This window comes from Homo sapiens, chromosome 22 (genome assembly GCF_000001405.40).
Source record: "Homo sapiens chromosome 22, GRCh38.p14 Primary Assembly".
Classification (NCBI taxonomy): domain Eukaryota; kingdom Metazoa; phylum Chordata; class Mammalia; order Primates; family Hominidae; genus Homo; species Homo sapiens.
Window position 1 is genome coordinate 41,885,994 of NC_000022.11, and position 16,060 is coordinate 41,902,053.

The 16,060-nt window shown below is 50.4% G+C and overlaps 1 protein-coding gene and 1 non-coding gene across 8 annotated transcripts in view; both read left to right on the forward strand.

The window, feature by feature from the left end:
• The window catches only part of SREBF2 (sterol regulatory element binding transcription factor 2), a 74,201-nt gene that overhangs the window by 52,889 nt on the left and 5,252 nt on the right, over window positions 1-16,060 (forward strand). For 2 of the 7 annotated variants that reach the window (NM_004599.4, XM_011530347.3), the window contains 5 exons: window positions 7,124-7,292; window positions 8,827-8,944; window positions 11,059-11,168; window positions 12,656-12,788; window positions 14,337-14,505. In NM_004599.4, the coding sequence (NP_004590.2) occupies window positions 7,124-7,292; window positions 8,827-8,944; window positions 11,059-11,168; window positions 12,656-12,788; window positions 14,337-14,505 (699 nt within the window). The other 5 variants (NR_103834.2, XR_001755276.3, XM_017028921.3 and 2 more) reach the window with 5 other exon arrangements.
• Window positions 14,951-15,019, forward strand: MIR33A (microRNA 33a). Its single transcript, NR_029507.1, has one exon. It is a non-coding gene; the product is annotated as a microRNA 33a (primary transcript).

Below are 16,060 nucleotides of genomic sequence, written 5' to 3' on the forward strand. Positions count from 1 at the left end.
CTACAGATAAGAGACTCATCCCTTGATTCACTCATTCAGCAAATATGACTGAGCACCGTCTCTAAGCAGGACATTTGCCTTGTCCTCAGGGAGCATAGTTGGCAAGGAATCTAGACAGCAGCCCTTCTTGAGCTTGACATTGATCTTCTCATGAGGAGGACTGGGCTCCAGGTGGGGAAAGAACCCCATCCTCACTTGTGGGCTAGACGACCTGGGAGTCCACAGACACTGAAGACACATCATTCTTCCTATTCATTTCAACCTTCCCTCGACAGATCTTCCTGGGACCAGGTCTTCAGGACAGTGTGAGCTAGGGTGAGCTCCTGAGCTGGTCTTGGGGGAAGTCAGGGTGGGCTTTCTGGGGAAGGTGAATCTAGGCTGACAGCAGGAGGCATTGATGAGATCTCTCTCCTTTTCAGTTTATTGAAGTGCTCTGGGCTGATGTCATTACATTTGTAACTTCCATGCCCCCCAAAAATGTTTTGAAGACATTCATTTTATCAAAATACAACATACATGCAGAAAAATGCCCACATTTTAACTTACGGCTTGAAGTGAAGTTACCCATGCAACACCCACCCACATCAAGAAGTAGAACATTCCCAGCACCCCCAGAAGCCTTCTTGAGGCCCTCCCTGCTCTTCCTGCCCCAACCAAGGTAACCACTCTTCTGAATTCTGTCACTGGAGTTTAATCTGTCTATTGTTCATCATTTCAGTAAACTTATCAAAGTACATGCTTAGAAGTCTGGCTGGGAGGGCCGGGCACGGTGGCTTACCCCTGTAATCCCGGCACTTTGGGAGGCCAAGGCGAGCAGATCACCTGAGGTCAGGAGTTCAAGACCAGCCTGACCAATATGATGAAACCCTGTCTCTACTAAAAATACAAAAATTAGCCAGGCGTGGTGGCATGTGCCTATAATCTCAGCTACTTGGGAGGCTGAGACAGGAGAATCACTTGAACCCAGGAGGTGGAGGGTGCATTGAGCGGAGATCACGCCATTGCACTCCAGCCTGGGCAACAGAGCAAGACTCCATCTCAAAATAAATACATACGTACATACAAACAAAAATTAGCTGGATGTGGTGGTGCACACCTGTAATCCCAGCTACTTGGGAGGCTGAGGCAGGAGAATCGCCTGAACCTGGGAAGTGGAGGTTGTAATGAGCCAAGATTGCACCACTGCACTCCAGCCTGGGTGACAGAGTGAGTGAGACTCCGTCTCAAGAAAAAAAAAAAAGATTACAATATGCATGTCAAAAAGTATACAAATCATAAATACACAGTTCAGTGACTCCACAGAGTAAACACACCCTTATAGCCAGCAGACAGATCAAAGTACAGAACCAAGACCCCAGAAACTTCTCTTGGGCCCTTTGCAATCACTAACCTGCCCCTTCCCCCAAGCCTTCCAGCCTTCCAAGGGTAACCACCATCCTAGTCACCTCAGATGCTTTGCCTCTGTTTAAACTATATTAATATAAGGAGAGTCTTGCAGTATACACTGTTTTGTGTCTGACTTATTTTGCTCAATATCATGTGTAAGAATCATTATGTTGTTATGTAGAATTATAGATTGTTCGTTCTCATATTTATAGTGTTCCATTGTATGACTAGATTATTGCAGATGAACTTTTTAGTTGTTTTCTGGCTTTGGTTATTATGAAGGGTGCTGCTGTGAACCTCCTTGTACACACATCTTTCAGGAAACGTGACTGCATTTTTAGGAATGGCATCGCTGGGTCAGAGGTTGTGCGTATTTCCAAATTGTTGGCCATTCTCCACTCCATCAGCAGTGAACAAGACTTCTAGTTCTACATCCTTACCGAACACATATAATGTCAATTTTTTTAAGCCCTTCTAGTGTATCTCATTGTAGTTTTCATTTGTACTTCCCAGGTGATTAATGAGATTGAGCACCTCTTCTTACATTTATTGGCAATTTGGATAGTCTGTTTCGTTACATTCAATTCAAGTCTTACCTCTTTTTCATTTGGACTATCTGTCGTCTCATTGATTAGAGGAATTCTTTATTCTGGAGATTACCCCTTTATTGGATATATGCTTTTCAGATACCTTCTCCCACTCTGGGGCTTGCCTGTTCTGTCTTAATGGTGTCTAGTGAGAGCACAAGCTCTTAATTTCAGTGAAATCCAGATTATTAGTCTTTTCCTTTACAGTTAGACATTTTAAGTCCTGTTCAATAAATCTTTGTCCTACCTCAAAGTCATGAAGATATTCTCCTATGTTGTCTGCTAGACGCTTTATTTTTTACTCTTTACACATATGTACCTAATCCACCTGGAATTAATTTTTATAAGAGTTGGAGGTAGGAGTGCAAGATCTGTTTTTCTCCATAAGGATATCTACCTGACGCAGAACCTGTTATTTTAAAAACTATCCTTCCCCTGCTGCACCAAGTGGCACCTTTTTTTCATAAATCAAGGATCCGTGTACCGTGGGTCTGCCTCCAGATCTAGTCTGTTCCACTGCACCATCACCACCCAACCCTAACGGCTGAGTTTTCTCTTACGTCTTGATGTCTGGAAGTGTTGGTCTTCCAGATTTAGTGACTAACGATGAATCTTGGGTGTTTCTTTGTAGCCTCTTCATTCTACAGAGGTACTTGATGCTGCTGATGGACATTTGGGTTGTTTCCAGTATTTGCCGTTATAAACAGTGCTTTAGGGAACATTTTTGTCCATTGTCTTCATGCACCTCCATAAGAGTTTCCTCAGACCAAATCTGTAGAGATGGTGATGCTGTGTCAAAGGATATAAATATTTGAAACTTAATAGTATTACCAAATTTGCATATTCAGTAAGATGGAAAAAGGAGAACTGTCATCTTTAAAGTAACTGCTCTTCTCTGTTTACTTCTCTTGAGAGAGGATAAAGAGACTCAGACAGTACTTTCTTATAAAGGAAGAAGCTTTGAATTTGGTGAGATATATTTAGCTACAAATGAGCCAGTTGTTGGGGGCAAGTGGAGGGCTGGCCTCTGTGAAAATGGTTTAGACTAGAGGTTCCCAAACTTGCTCAACTCATGACTCAAGATTCCCAAACATTCTCTACTCACTATGTCTCAGTAAATTTTTCATGGCATCCCTTAGCCAAAAGAAATACCTAACGGTTCTGGTTTTCGTTTTTTGAAACAGTGTCTTGCTCTGTTGCCCAGGCTGGAGTGCAGTGGTGCAATCACGGCACACTCTAGCCTCAACCTCTCTGGGCTCAAGTGATCATCCCACCTCACCCTCCCGAGTAGCTGGGACTGCAGGTATACACCACCACACCGAGCTTATTTTTGTATTTTTTGTAAAGTCAGGGTTTTGCTATGTTGCTCAGGCTGGTCTCGAACTCCTGGGCTTAAGCGATCTGCCCACCTCAGCCTCTCAAAGTGCTGGGATTATAGGCATGCACCACCGCGCCTGGCCTCTGTTAAGTAGTTAAGTTTGAACATCCTAATAGGTATTTAAATTGTCTTAACAGCTTAGTGGTCATTTGAAAAAATCATATGTCAAGTTGAAAGAAGAAATAATATTTTTTGCTAGGAGTGGTAGCACACACCTGTGGTCCCAGCTCCTCAGGAGACTGAGGTAGGAGAATCTCCTGAAACCACGAGTTTGAGGCTGCAGTTAGCTATGGTCACACCTGTGAATAGAGCCACTCCACTCCAGCCTGGACAACATAGTGAGACCATGTCTCTATTAAAAAAAAAAAAAAAGAGGTTGGGCACGGTGGCTCATACCTGTAATCCCAGCACTTAAGGAGGCTGAGGCGGGTGGATCACCTAAGGTCAGGAGTTTGAGACCAGCCTGGCCAACATGATGAAACTCCGTGTCTACTAAAAATACAAAAATTAGCCAGGGATCGTAGCACGCACCTGTAATCCCAGCTACTCGGAAGGCTGAGACAGAATCACTTGAACCCAGGAGTCAGAGGTTGCCGTGAGCCGAGATTGTGCCACTGCACTCTGGGTGACAGAGCAAGACTCTGTCTCAAAAGAAAGAAAGAGAGAGAATATTTTGGATTCTTAATAATTTCTTAGAAATCATGGTTATTAAGAATCCAAAATATTCTTTTATTTATTTATTTATTTTTTGAGATACAGCCTCACTCTGTTGCCCAGGCTGGAGTGGAATGGCTCTTCACAAGCATGGTGTCACTGTTTCTTACCAATACATGAACCTGTCAAGCACTGCACACCTCAAGCTTTGGAATCAGACTAGCAACCATCACTCTCTCTCTTTTCCACATTGATTTTCACACAGTACTATGACAGATATCACATCTCCAAAGGAAGCTAGTGTGGTCTCAATGCTGAGGCTGCATGCTCTCCCCATCTAGTCACTTACAGTGCCCAGCTGATGTTGAGCATCACTGTTTTCCTCGAAAGTTTAAAATAGCCAGTGGCTCCCTTGATCACTTGCTGTGGCACCTCAGACTGCCTTGGCACACGATTTGAGAGCCATGGGGTTAGACCGATGTTAGGGGACACAACCTGGGGTTGGGACTGGCCCAGGGATACTGAGTGGCTCTCAGGATCTAAACAGTTGTGGGGTTCTTGCCACAGCCTCTTTCACATCAGGCAATTAGCAGATGAGTTACAGGGGGAGGCTCCTAGGCCCCAGTTGGGGAAGATTCTGGTGTCTATAAAATTTAGGAAAACTTAAAAAAAAATTTTTTTTTTTTTGGCTTGGGATTACAAGCCAAGCCACCAGCGTGGCCAAGATGGTGAAACCCTGTCTCTACTAAAAATATAAAAATTAGCTGGGTGCGGTGGCGGGTGCCTATAATCCCAGCTACTTGGGAGGCTGAGGCAGGAGAATTGCTAGAACCCAGGAGGCGGAGGTTGCAGTGAGCCAAGATCACACCACTGCACTCCAGCCTGGGTGACAGAGCAAGACTCTGTCTTTAAAAAAAAAAAGAAAAGAAAAGAATTAAGCTTAAAATACATTTTTACTTAGTGATTTCCACATTTGCCTTTCTGGTTCCTCTTGCCGTATGACCTGGACTAGGCTTTGCTTCTACTTGTAACATTTGGGCCCTCGTGAGGGACCAGTTGGTCCTCAGTTTCTCCTGGAGCAGCCACCAGGCTCCCTTGCTGATTGGACATGTGGAATTGGCTGTTCTTGGAAAGAGAGTTGGAGTCAACCGTTCAAATGTTCTGGGACCTCCGAAGCCCAGGAATCACGCCACCACCCCCCAATCTCCCTCCCTGCTCAGCTCCTCAACTGCTATTCTCCCACCATTGCAGTTATCAGCTCAGATTCAGTGAGTGCTTTGTGGAAGGTTGGCAGAGGGTCGCGAGGGTCCTCTACATTTGTTCTCCAGTATCCAGTATCAACACTGGTTACCAAAGAGGAAGGACGGACTATTGGTGCCCCTGGTCCCAGTGATTAGAAATGTAAGTGAAACACCCCACCTCATCTCATAAGCTGCTTTGAGATTATGAGTATGTGTCTATAGAACAGGTTGTTTTCTCTCAGACTCAGGCAGTGTCTCCAGGTTCCCCCTGGAGAGAGATAGTCTTCTCTGTCTGTGTCCTCGAGTGGCACTCTGACAGTGCTATTTCTGACCCTGGCATTCAAGTCTTCTGAAGCCGTTACATTCGCTGATGGCTACTTAGAGCCCAGTAAAGGTCAGAACCATCAGACTGAACCAGACCATGAAACAGCGCTGCTCCTGTGGGGGCGAGGGCTGGGGTGTGGAAGCGATGTCTGCGGGCCTCGGCCTGGCAGCCCCGCCCCTGGGCTCCCTGGGCTTTCTATCTTATGCTTCTCCCTCCCTCCTGTCTTCTGTCCTCAGTTCCTCACTCACCCTGGCCTGTTTCGGGGAGTGGTTATGGGTTGGAAGTCATGGGTGTTAGTGTGAAAATACCCTCACTCAAAAAGTGACAGAACTGAAAACGTGGTAGATGGTATTGTCCCTGCAGTTCTTGTCAGTGGGGTCCTGGAATGATGTTATCCCGGCAAGTGGAGGAGGGGCCCAGTGACCGGGGCCCTGGCTCTTTGAATTGTCCCACAAAGAGGCTTTCCAGGTTCCCCCTCTGTTCTTTCTCGCAGGCTGGTGTTCACATCAGGGGCTCATGCAGGGGTGCCATGGGGTTTCTGTAGGGGGCCGCCCTTGCAGGGCCAGCTTTGTGGGGGGAGTCTCTCAACCACCTGCACACAGATACTTGCCTGTACAGGGCCTGGGCTGTCCTCCCAGCTGCCCCTTCACTCCAGTGCCATCTGATGTGACCCTGACGGCTGGCCATGTGCCGAGCACTGTTCTAAACTTTACACGCAAAGTAAAAGTAAAAGAAAAATTAGTCAAAGCAGAATAATTTTGCCTAAAATAGTCTAAAAGATATGTAATTAAAATGACATGATGGGCCAGGCACGGTGGCTCACGCCTGTAATCCCAGCACTTTGGGAGGCCGAGACGGGCGGATCACGAGGTCAAGAGATCGAGACCATCCTGGCTAACACGGTGAAACCCCGTCTCTACTAAAAATACAAAAATTAGCCGGGCATGGTGGCGCGCGCCTGTAGTCCCAGCTACACGGGAGGCTGAGGCAGGAGAATGGCGTGAACCCGGGAGGCAGAGCTTGCAGTGAGTCGAGATCGCGCCACTGCACTCCAGCCTGGGCGACAGAGCGAAACTCCGTCTCAAAAAAAAAAAAAAAAAAAAATGACATGATAAAAAGTCCCAGGATAGAAGGGGCTGCCTGGCTTGGCACTCTCGGGGCCGAGGGGAAAGTACAGCAGCCAGGGGGCCCCTGAGACCCCTCCTTGGGAAACCGCCTTCCTAGTTTACCCTGCAGGTTGAATGCCAGTAGGATCAGGCAGCCCCAGCAGGACAGGATGCAGCAGGGGCCCCACGCGTGCCTTGTGGCTGCTCCCTGCCCTCCTGCTGGGATGTGGACCTAGTCAGCAAGTCCAGCACACTCTACTGGTGGGCTTGCCCTAGTTTCCATGGTGGGCTTTACTTTCAGGTACCTGTGGGAGTCCTATCCCTGTGCTGATCTTTCCCAGTCTCCCCCAAAGCCCACCTCCACCATGGTGCTTTCTGCACCCCACAGTGGCTGCAGCCAGCATTCTGCCACCTTGGTGTTACCCCTGGTCCTTGTCCTTCCACAGAGCTACTTCCTCAGCCGAGCCCAGAGCCTGTGTGGCCCCGAGCACAGTGCTGTTCCTGACTCCCTGCGCTGGCTCTGCCACCCCCTGGGCCAGAAGTTTTTCATGGAGCGGAGCTGGTCTGTGAAGTCAGCTGCCAAGGAGAGTCTATACTGTGCCCAGAGGAACCCAGGTGAGAATACCTTGGAGCCATTCAGAATTGGAGAAAGCCATGCAAACCGCCGGTACTACAGAGTCACTGCACCAGACACGCGGAGACACGGGTTGTCTCTTAATCTTGTTGAGTCCGTTTGTTTGTTTGTTTGTTTGTTTGTTTGAACCAAAGCTCAGGGAGGTTGAGTAACTTGCTTAAGGTCACAAGCCTGATCAGAAATTGTCAGTGGCTAAGCTGGGTGTGCAGCTCTGCTCTCTCTAACATTCAGAGCCCATGGTCCTTACATCACACAGCAATAAATTGTGATTAAGCTCCAAGGGTACTCTTAGCCCTTGTTTTGGGCACTTTGGAGACACAAAGGATGTGTGAGGCTTGCTTTCCCTGGCCTCCAGGTCTCTCCCATTGGGAGAGCAGACAGACATAAATGGAGAGTTTGGGAACAATAGGTGGCAGGCAGTCATCAACTGCTCAGAGTGGTGACAGGGACGAGGCTTCAGGCATTGGAAGGAGGTGCTGGCTTTCTGTCCCTGGCATTTGATAGTGATTGGAGTTGACTCGCCCGGCCTTGGAGCAGTAGAGGCTGGTCAGGATTGACTTAGACCTTGAGTGCTCAGTGGCTGTCTGCTTTCTGCTGTACTTTTCCTCCCCTCTCAGAATTGGAGTCTGTGGGGAGAGTAAGGTTCTACAGGTATAGGGGTGTGTGTCACACATTGGGGGAGTTCACTGTCCTTTTCTTTTTTAAATAATAACTGTATTGCTCAACGTGAGAATTGTGTGCAACACCAAAATATAAAGGATGAAAGCAAAAGCAATCCTAAATCTTTCTACCCCACCCCTGCTGGCTAAACATGGACTTCTCAGTGGCTTTGTCATCTCTGGCAGTCTCTGGCTCCAGGCCTTGTTACTTGGAATGTGTTCATAAGTGTCCCTCCTCCTGGTCATTAGATCGAGGCCCACATATCTGCCACATGTGAGGAGAGAGAAGGGGCTGGTGATTTGAGGCCTGCCAGTAAAGAAACTTGCTGGTGACAGTCAGCTATCCAAGCATTGCAAGGCCCCGTGTCTAGCCAGTTCAGACAGGTCACTGCTGATGGCACGTTCCATGACAAGGCTCTGGAAAAACCGGAGCATGTTCTTCGTTGTCATGAGCGTGGCAGCAGCTACCACCTTTTTTTCCTTGCCTGGTGGTTCTCCTTAGCCACATGGAGAAGAGAAATCCTCTGAGACATTCCATTTTCTGTTTTCTGATCCAACTCCACCTGACAGCTCCCAACCTTAGAGTACTGAGCACTGTGCCAGGAGACACAGCACCCTCCCCCACACCCCCTCCCCACCGGAGCTCATCCAGAACTAGTCTTGAGCTCTTCAGGCTGGGAGTGAACACTCTCCCCCATCCTCCAACTGTTTAGCACAGTAGTTCTGGGCTTTGGTGGAGAAGGGGCATCTGATCCCCATTCACAAGGCATGGCTGTGTTTGGAGTTTCTCTCCGTAAAGACAAAGTGGGCTCATAAATGAGCTCCATTTAACCCCCCTTGCCTGTCTCTTTTCCAGCTGACCCCATTGCGCAGGTCCACCAGGCCTTCTGCAAGAACCTGCTGGAGCGAGCTATAGAGTCCTTGGTGAAACCTCAGGCCAAGAAGAAGGCTGGAGACCAGGAAGAAGAGAGCTGGTAAAGTCCCCAGACCAGTCCCCCTGCCTTAGGACCTGTCCACGCAGGCAACTCCAGGACAGCCTGAAGGCCTGCACTCCTGGAGGGAAACAAGCCTGGCATCGGGTTGGCAGGGCAATCAAATGGTTCCTTTGTATTTAATTTCTCAAAAATGAGAGCCCTATGTTAACTCTGACCTGGCCTTTCCTCCTAGACCAAGTGCGTTTTTTTTTTTTTTTTGGAGACGGAGTCTCGCTCTGTCACTCAGGTTGGAGTGCAGTGGCGCAATCTTGGCACACTGCAAGCTCTGCCTCCTGGGTTCACGCCATTCTTCTGTGTCAGCCTCCTGAGTAGCTGGGACTACAGGCGCCTGCCACCATGCCCGGCTAATTTTTTGTATTTTTAGTAGAGACGAGGTTTCACCATGTTAGCCAGGATGGTCTCGACCTCGTGATCCGCCTGCCTCAGCCTCCCAAAGTGCTGGGATTACAGGCGTGAGCCACCATGCCCAGGCCTTTTTTTTTTTTTTTTTTTTTGAGATGGAGTTTCGCTCTTGTTGCCCAGGCTGGAGTGCAATGGACCAGTCTCAGCTCACTGCAACCTCTGCCTCCCGGGTTCAAGTGATTCTTCTGCCTTAGCCTCCCAAGTAGCTGGGATTACAGGCGCCCACCACCATGCCTGGCTAATTTTTGTACTTTTAGTAGAGATGAGGTTTCACCATGTCATTCAGGCTGGTCTTGAACTCCTGATCTCGGGCAATCCGCCTGCCTCGGCCTCCCAAAGTGCTGGGATTACAGGCATGAGCCACCACGCCTGGCAGGTGCACCCATTTTTATGTATCCCTTTACCAAGCGGAGTCAGTACTTGGACCAAGTCAGGGATTTCATTAGCTTGCTCTGCTTTTTGGGGTAGGGAGCAGGGGCCTGTTGAAAGGGGATGGGGGCTGGGTGCAGTGGCTCACGTCTGTAATCCCAGCACTTTGGGTGGGAGGCCAAGGTGGGCAGATCACGAGGTCAGGAGATCGAGACCATCCTGGCTAACACGGTGAAACCCCGTCTACTAAAAATACAAAAAATTAGCCAGGCGTGGTGGCGGGCGCCTGTGGTCCCAGCTATTCCGGAGGCTGAGGCAGGAGAATGGCATGAATCCGGGAGGCGGAGCTTGCAGTGAGCCAAGATTGCGCCACTGCACTCCAGCCTGGGTGACAGAGCTAGACTCTGTCTCAAAAAAAAAAAAAGAAAGGGGATGGGAATGAAATGTGACGAGCTCAGCAGAAGGCAGACACATCTGGCCTGGACATCTTGGGGACCCAGCCCCTCATGGAATGTGCCGGGCAATTTTTCTCTCTGACATACTTACTGAGCACAGTCCTTCTTTCACAGAGTAAGACCTGAGAGGCAGATAGGTGCCAAAGTCACTTTTGTTTTTTGTTATTTTTGTTTGTTTTTTGGGGGGTTTTTTGAGACAGTGTCTCACTCTGTCACCCAGGCTGGAATGTAGTGGTACAGTCTTGGCTCACTGCAACCTCTGCCTCCTGGGTTCAAGCGGTTCTCCTGCCTCAGCCTCCCAAGTAGCTGGAATTACAGGCACGCGCCACCATGCCCGACTCATTTTTGTATTTCTTGGTAGAGGCAGAGTTTCACCATTGGTCAGGCTGGTCTGGAACTCCTGACCTCAAGTGATCTGCCTGCCTTGGCCTCCCAAAGTGCTGGGATTACAGGCGTGAGCCACCGTGCCCGGCCCCAAAGTCACTTTCCTACAAGGCCCAGATCCTGATTAGGGTGCACCTGAGGAGAGGGGGAGGGGGCAGTTCTGCCTGGGAGATAAGAAAACTTTTGGGAGGAGATGACACTGGACTTGGGGCTTAAGGAGAGGAGTGAGGGTAGGCTGTGGGGGATGCTAGGGAAAGGCCCCCAGTAGAGGGAAGAGTGTCAGTGACAGCCCAGAGACACGGAGGAAGGATGCCTGAGGAATACAAAGGGTACACATAGACAGCGCTTGCGTGTGCCTGGGATGACAGGAAAGGGACAGAAATGGCCATTGGGTCTTAGAGCTGGAGAGCTGAACAGCTAGGCCATGAGGTGGGCCTTGTGTATATGTTTTGATGTACATGGGACCCTTTCTTTTCTTCCTAGTGAATTCTCCAGTGCTCTGGAGTACTTGAAATTACTTCATTCTTTTGTGGACTCTGTGGGGGTTATGAGCCCCCCACTCTCCAGGAGCTCCGTGCTCAAGTCCGCCCTGGGTAAGCACCTGCGGGTGGCCCACAGTCTCAGGGTGCTCAGTTCAGGTCTTCACAGTGCTTTTGCCCCAGGGGTCCAGGGCGTTAGGAGTGTAGATGCCAGCATCTTCTCTGGATCCCAGGTTCATACCTGTGGCTCCAGTTCACAGTCACCCCCTCCCAAACAGCACTCAGAGGCAGGAAACTATGGTTTTCAGAGAAGTAGGGCAATGAGTAATTGAATGTCTTCCTCAAGCCCTAGCTGTGTGACCCAGGTGAGGACCCTTCTTAATGCCCAGAAGAACAAGCAATGAGTGGCCCAGGCACCAGGGATGGTGGGGAGTCACCTTTCAGATGCACAGTGGCCCCTGAGGCAGCTCTTGGGCCTTATGCTCTTTGCTGAAGAGACTTTTCATCTGGGCCTCTCTACCACTCCTCAGCCCCTCATCACATCAGTGTCACAGCACAGCCCACTGACTGGATTGACATCATGACATTTCTTTGCTTCTGTCCCTAAACTGCCATCAGGATGATAGCACATCAGCTGCCAACTCTTGGGCTTCTGTGGCCACCCTGGAAGATGGGGGTACCAAGCTACCGCTGGTCACTCTCCCTAGGGAGGGAGGGATCCCAGAAAATCAGCCACCCTATCATGATCCCTGACCTGTGGCCTCTGTTTTCAAGTTTAGGGAAGCATGACCATCCCCGCTGGTTTTGTGGGATCACTACTGTCATCATTTTGCAGTTGAGAAAACTAAGGCTGAGAGAGGAGAAGACTTAAAATATTCTAACAGGAGCCTGTTCCAGATACTTTGAAGATACCATTCTTTATGGCTATTGAAAGCTTAGGTTGTATCCATCTTTTTATTTAAAAACAACACTGCAGTCAAATATGTGTTAAACTTTTTTCTCTCTAAGCCAGTTTCATTATGACAGACTGCCAAAAATGGGATTACTAGCTTAACGGGAGTGAACTTTTTTATTTTTTTTGAGACGGAGTCTTACTCTTGTTGCCCAGGCTGGAGTGCAATGGCACGATCTCGGCTCACTGCAACCTCCGCCCGCACCGAGGTTCAAGCGATTCTCTTGCCTCAGCCTCCCTAGTAGCTGGGATTACAGTCACCCGCCACCATGCCCAGCTAATTTTTTTGTGTATTTTTAGTAGAGAGGGGGTTTCACCATGTTGGCCAGGCTGGTCTCAAACTCCTGACCTCAGGTGATCCACCTGCCTCAGCCTCCCAAAATGCTGGGATTACAGGCGTGAGCCACCGCGGCCAACCAGGAATGAACATTTTTAAGGCTCTTGATATATATTGCCAAACACTTTCCAAGATTGTGCTGGTCTATTCCCCTCCCCCAGAATCCTGGGTGTGGGAGCCCAGAGGCTGCTGGCCCGTTCCCAGCAGGCAAAGATGTTACCCATCTCCTAGGAAGGAAGTGTAGCAGCCTCTGAGCGCCACAGGTCTCGTTTCTGTGGGTGCTGGAGTGCGTTTGGTGCTGTTCTCCTCTAGGTCCAGACATCATCTGTCGGTGGTGGACGTCTGCAATCACTGTGGCCATCAGCTGGCTCCAGGGAGACGATGCAGCTGTGCGCTCTCATTTTACCAAAGTGGAACGCATCCCCAAGGCCCTGGAAGTGACAGAGTGCGTAACCCTCCTTGGCCACTCACTTGCTTCTCTCCAGGGGAATCTTGTTTGAGTTAGCAGGAGCAAACTGGACTGGGTGGGCGTGTTGGGGTGAAGGGTCAGGACTGCATGACAGGTGGGCGGCTAGAAAAGTCGGGGGTGAGGGCACCATGGAGAACTCAAGTTGGGCCAGCAGGTCCTCTGTGCAAGTGTCCTGCTCTGCACAACACGACAGTTGTCCCAGCAGCTGTCAGCACTGTGTCCGGGTCCTCCTCCCTGCAGCCTTCATGGCGCCACAGGCTGAAAAGAAGAGACGAGAGCAGTGTGGCCCCCAGCATCTTCAGAAGCTTTGTGGTGGAGGCAGGCACTGGTGGTTCACAATCAGTGCAGAGAGGCCACTGTTGCCCCCAAAACTCATGTGCACTGGAGCATCTTGCCCCTGTGTGCTAGCATTTTATCCACTTTCCTTCCAGCCACCTCCACCCCCACCATCAACCCTGGCAACTTTGTCCTGTAACTAAAATAGCCTTTAGCACATGGCATAACCGGAGAGCTTTTGACATTCCTCTTTGGAGATTCATGTCTGCGTCTTGGGGGCATTCGGCACTAGTGATGGGCAGCCCTGCCTGCTGACTCCCCGGCTGTTTCTAATTGGATCTGAGTATTCTAAGAGAAACTGTAAAATGCTCCAAGACAGAAAGGCCCCACGAGGTCCTATCCTTAGAGCCAAGGCTGTAGCATTTCCTATCAAGCAGACCCTTAACCGGCGCACAGGAAGGAGCTGAGAAGAGTGAGTATACACAGGCTTGAAGTCCTTTGTTCCCTGAAGTAGATGTGACACCCTAATTTCATTGAAGTAGCCCCATTTGTAAGCACTCTGACTAGGTAAGCACCCAGCCCGGTATAGCATTCCACCTGTATGTGTGTCTCCCCCAGTCGATGTGCCTGAGGACACTGAGACTCAGCAGGTAAGTTGTCCAAAGTCACCTCGCTCCAGAGCAGCAGAGCTTCCATGGACAGCCAAGACACCCCTGCAGGCACTGCTGCCTGCTGGATTCACTTACCCCTGGGTCCCTCTGCTTTTCAGGGACTAGGATGCTATGAGAACCCTCCCCCATCCCTAGCCTCCCCTTCCACTCCCAGTCTCCTCTACAGAAAGAAGCTAACTAAGTATCTCCAGAGAGTTTAATACCACATCTCTGGGGGGGTGGTCCCTTAAAGAACGGGTACAACACCTTATTGTGGCCACTTTATAGGTAAGGAAACTGAGGCACACGTTGGAATGACTATCTTGGGTGGCTTCTTAGCAGCAGACGTGATGGTGAAGCCTGTGTCTCTGACTTCCAGCATTGAATGAAGGTGCTAAAGGGTGGGGCGCTAACCCTAGCTCAGGGCTGGCATTTCAGATCTGGAGCTGGTGGCATGGTGCCATAGTGGCAGCATTGGAGTCAACAGATGCACATGTCATATCAGTGTGGGGCGTGGCAGTCACTGGCTTGGGCCCCTCTGCCTGTCACGCAGGTGACACATAGTGACCTGCCTCTCGACTCCCTGTCACTGCTGCAGGAGCCCCCTGGTGAAGGCCATCTTCCATGCCTGCAGAGCCATGCATGCCTCACTCCCTGGGAAAGCAGATGGGCAGCAGAGTTCCTTCTGCCATTGCGAGAGGGCCAGTGGCCACCTATGGAGCAGCCTCAACGTCAGTGGGGCCACCTCTGACCCTGCCCTCAACCACGTGAGTGGGAGCTGAGTTGGCCCCTGGGGGAGGTGCTCTGCACTGGTTTACGAGAACACTCCCACTCACCTCATGCTGACCCTGCGGGTGGGGCCATCCGAAAGACAGAGAAACCAGGACAGCAGCCCCCTTTCAAAAAAGTTACGGCTTATTGGCCTAGGTGGACTCCTTTTTCATCCCTTTTCAGCCTCTGAGGCAAGTGTGTTTCTACCTGCACCTTTCTTAGGCTCCCAGAGTCCCAGGTCCTGCTGGCCCATAGCCTCTGTAAGCCCAGGTGCACCCCAGCTGGCCAGGGGTTCACCTGCATTTGCTCCAGCGGTTTGCGTGACTTCCCAGGCCTCTGCAGGCAGCCTTGGAGTGGGTTCCTGCCCCCTCGGGCACACAAACAGAGCTGAAGACCACCCTGGGCACCTCCTTGGCTGGCCGCATACCTCCTGGCGGGCAGCTGTGGTGCATTGTAGTTGCATTGCATGTTCTGGTGGTACCCATGCAATGTTTCCACAGTGCATCACAGAGGCCTGCCTGGCCCTCGAGAGACTGCCCTGACTGAAGGCCCTATCAGGTGGGGGAGGGGATCCTGATAGAGGGCACTGCTGCCACTGTTGGGGCCCAAGTCACAGCCATCCCAGGAAACAGGAGGGCACCCAGCTGAAAGTGGAGCATCACCTGGTCTACGGGGAACATGTCCTTAGCTCCAGAGTGGGAGGGACCGGGAGAGTCCTGGAGATTCAGATTCTCAGCCACTCCCTGGGGCTTGGTCTTAGCTGGCTAGGCTAGTACTTCAAGCTAGATATTGTCAGTGGACCTGGGCACTGGGATGAACCCAGGACAGCGTGGCAGCCCCTACAGGGACAGGCAATGTGCAGAAAAGGCCCAAACTGGCTGGACGCGGTGGCTCACACCTGTAATCCCAGCACTTTGGGAAGCTGAGGTGGGCAGATCACCTGAGGTCAGGAGTTCGAGACCAGCCTGACCAACATGGTGAAACCCCGTTTGTACTAAAAATACAAAAATAAGCCAGGTGTGGTGGCATGTATCTGTAATCCCAGCTACTCAGGAGGCTGAGGCAGAAGAATCACTTGAACCCAGGAGGTAGAGGTTGCAGTGAGTCGAGATTGCACCACTGCACTCCAGCCTGGGCAACAGAGCGAGACTCCATCTTTAAAAAAAAGCTGGTGGGGGTGCCCAAATGCCCTGGGCTGCCAAGACCAAAGGCAGATGGTGAGCCACATTTCACCTTCTCTTTTGGGCTTTCCATTAGTCTCTTCCGTATTTGTCTTCATGAGAGAACCAAACAGTACAGGCTCAGTTTGGGGAATGAGAGGCTTGCAGCCACCCTTTGGACTGGGGTTCCTTGGTAGCAGCTCTGTGGTAGGAAAGTGAGCCTAGAAGACAACGCCATGCAGCCTGATGGCCCTCGGAGGGCAGAATCCAGACATAGGCCTGCTGCCTCCATGCCCACAGGTGCTTCTGCAGCATGCACAGCTTAGAAGTGCCAGGTTTTGAGGAGAGGGATCCTTTTCCACATCCCCTTGAAGCACACAACAGCCAGAAA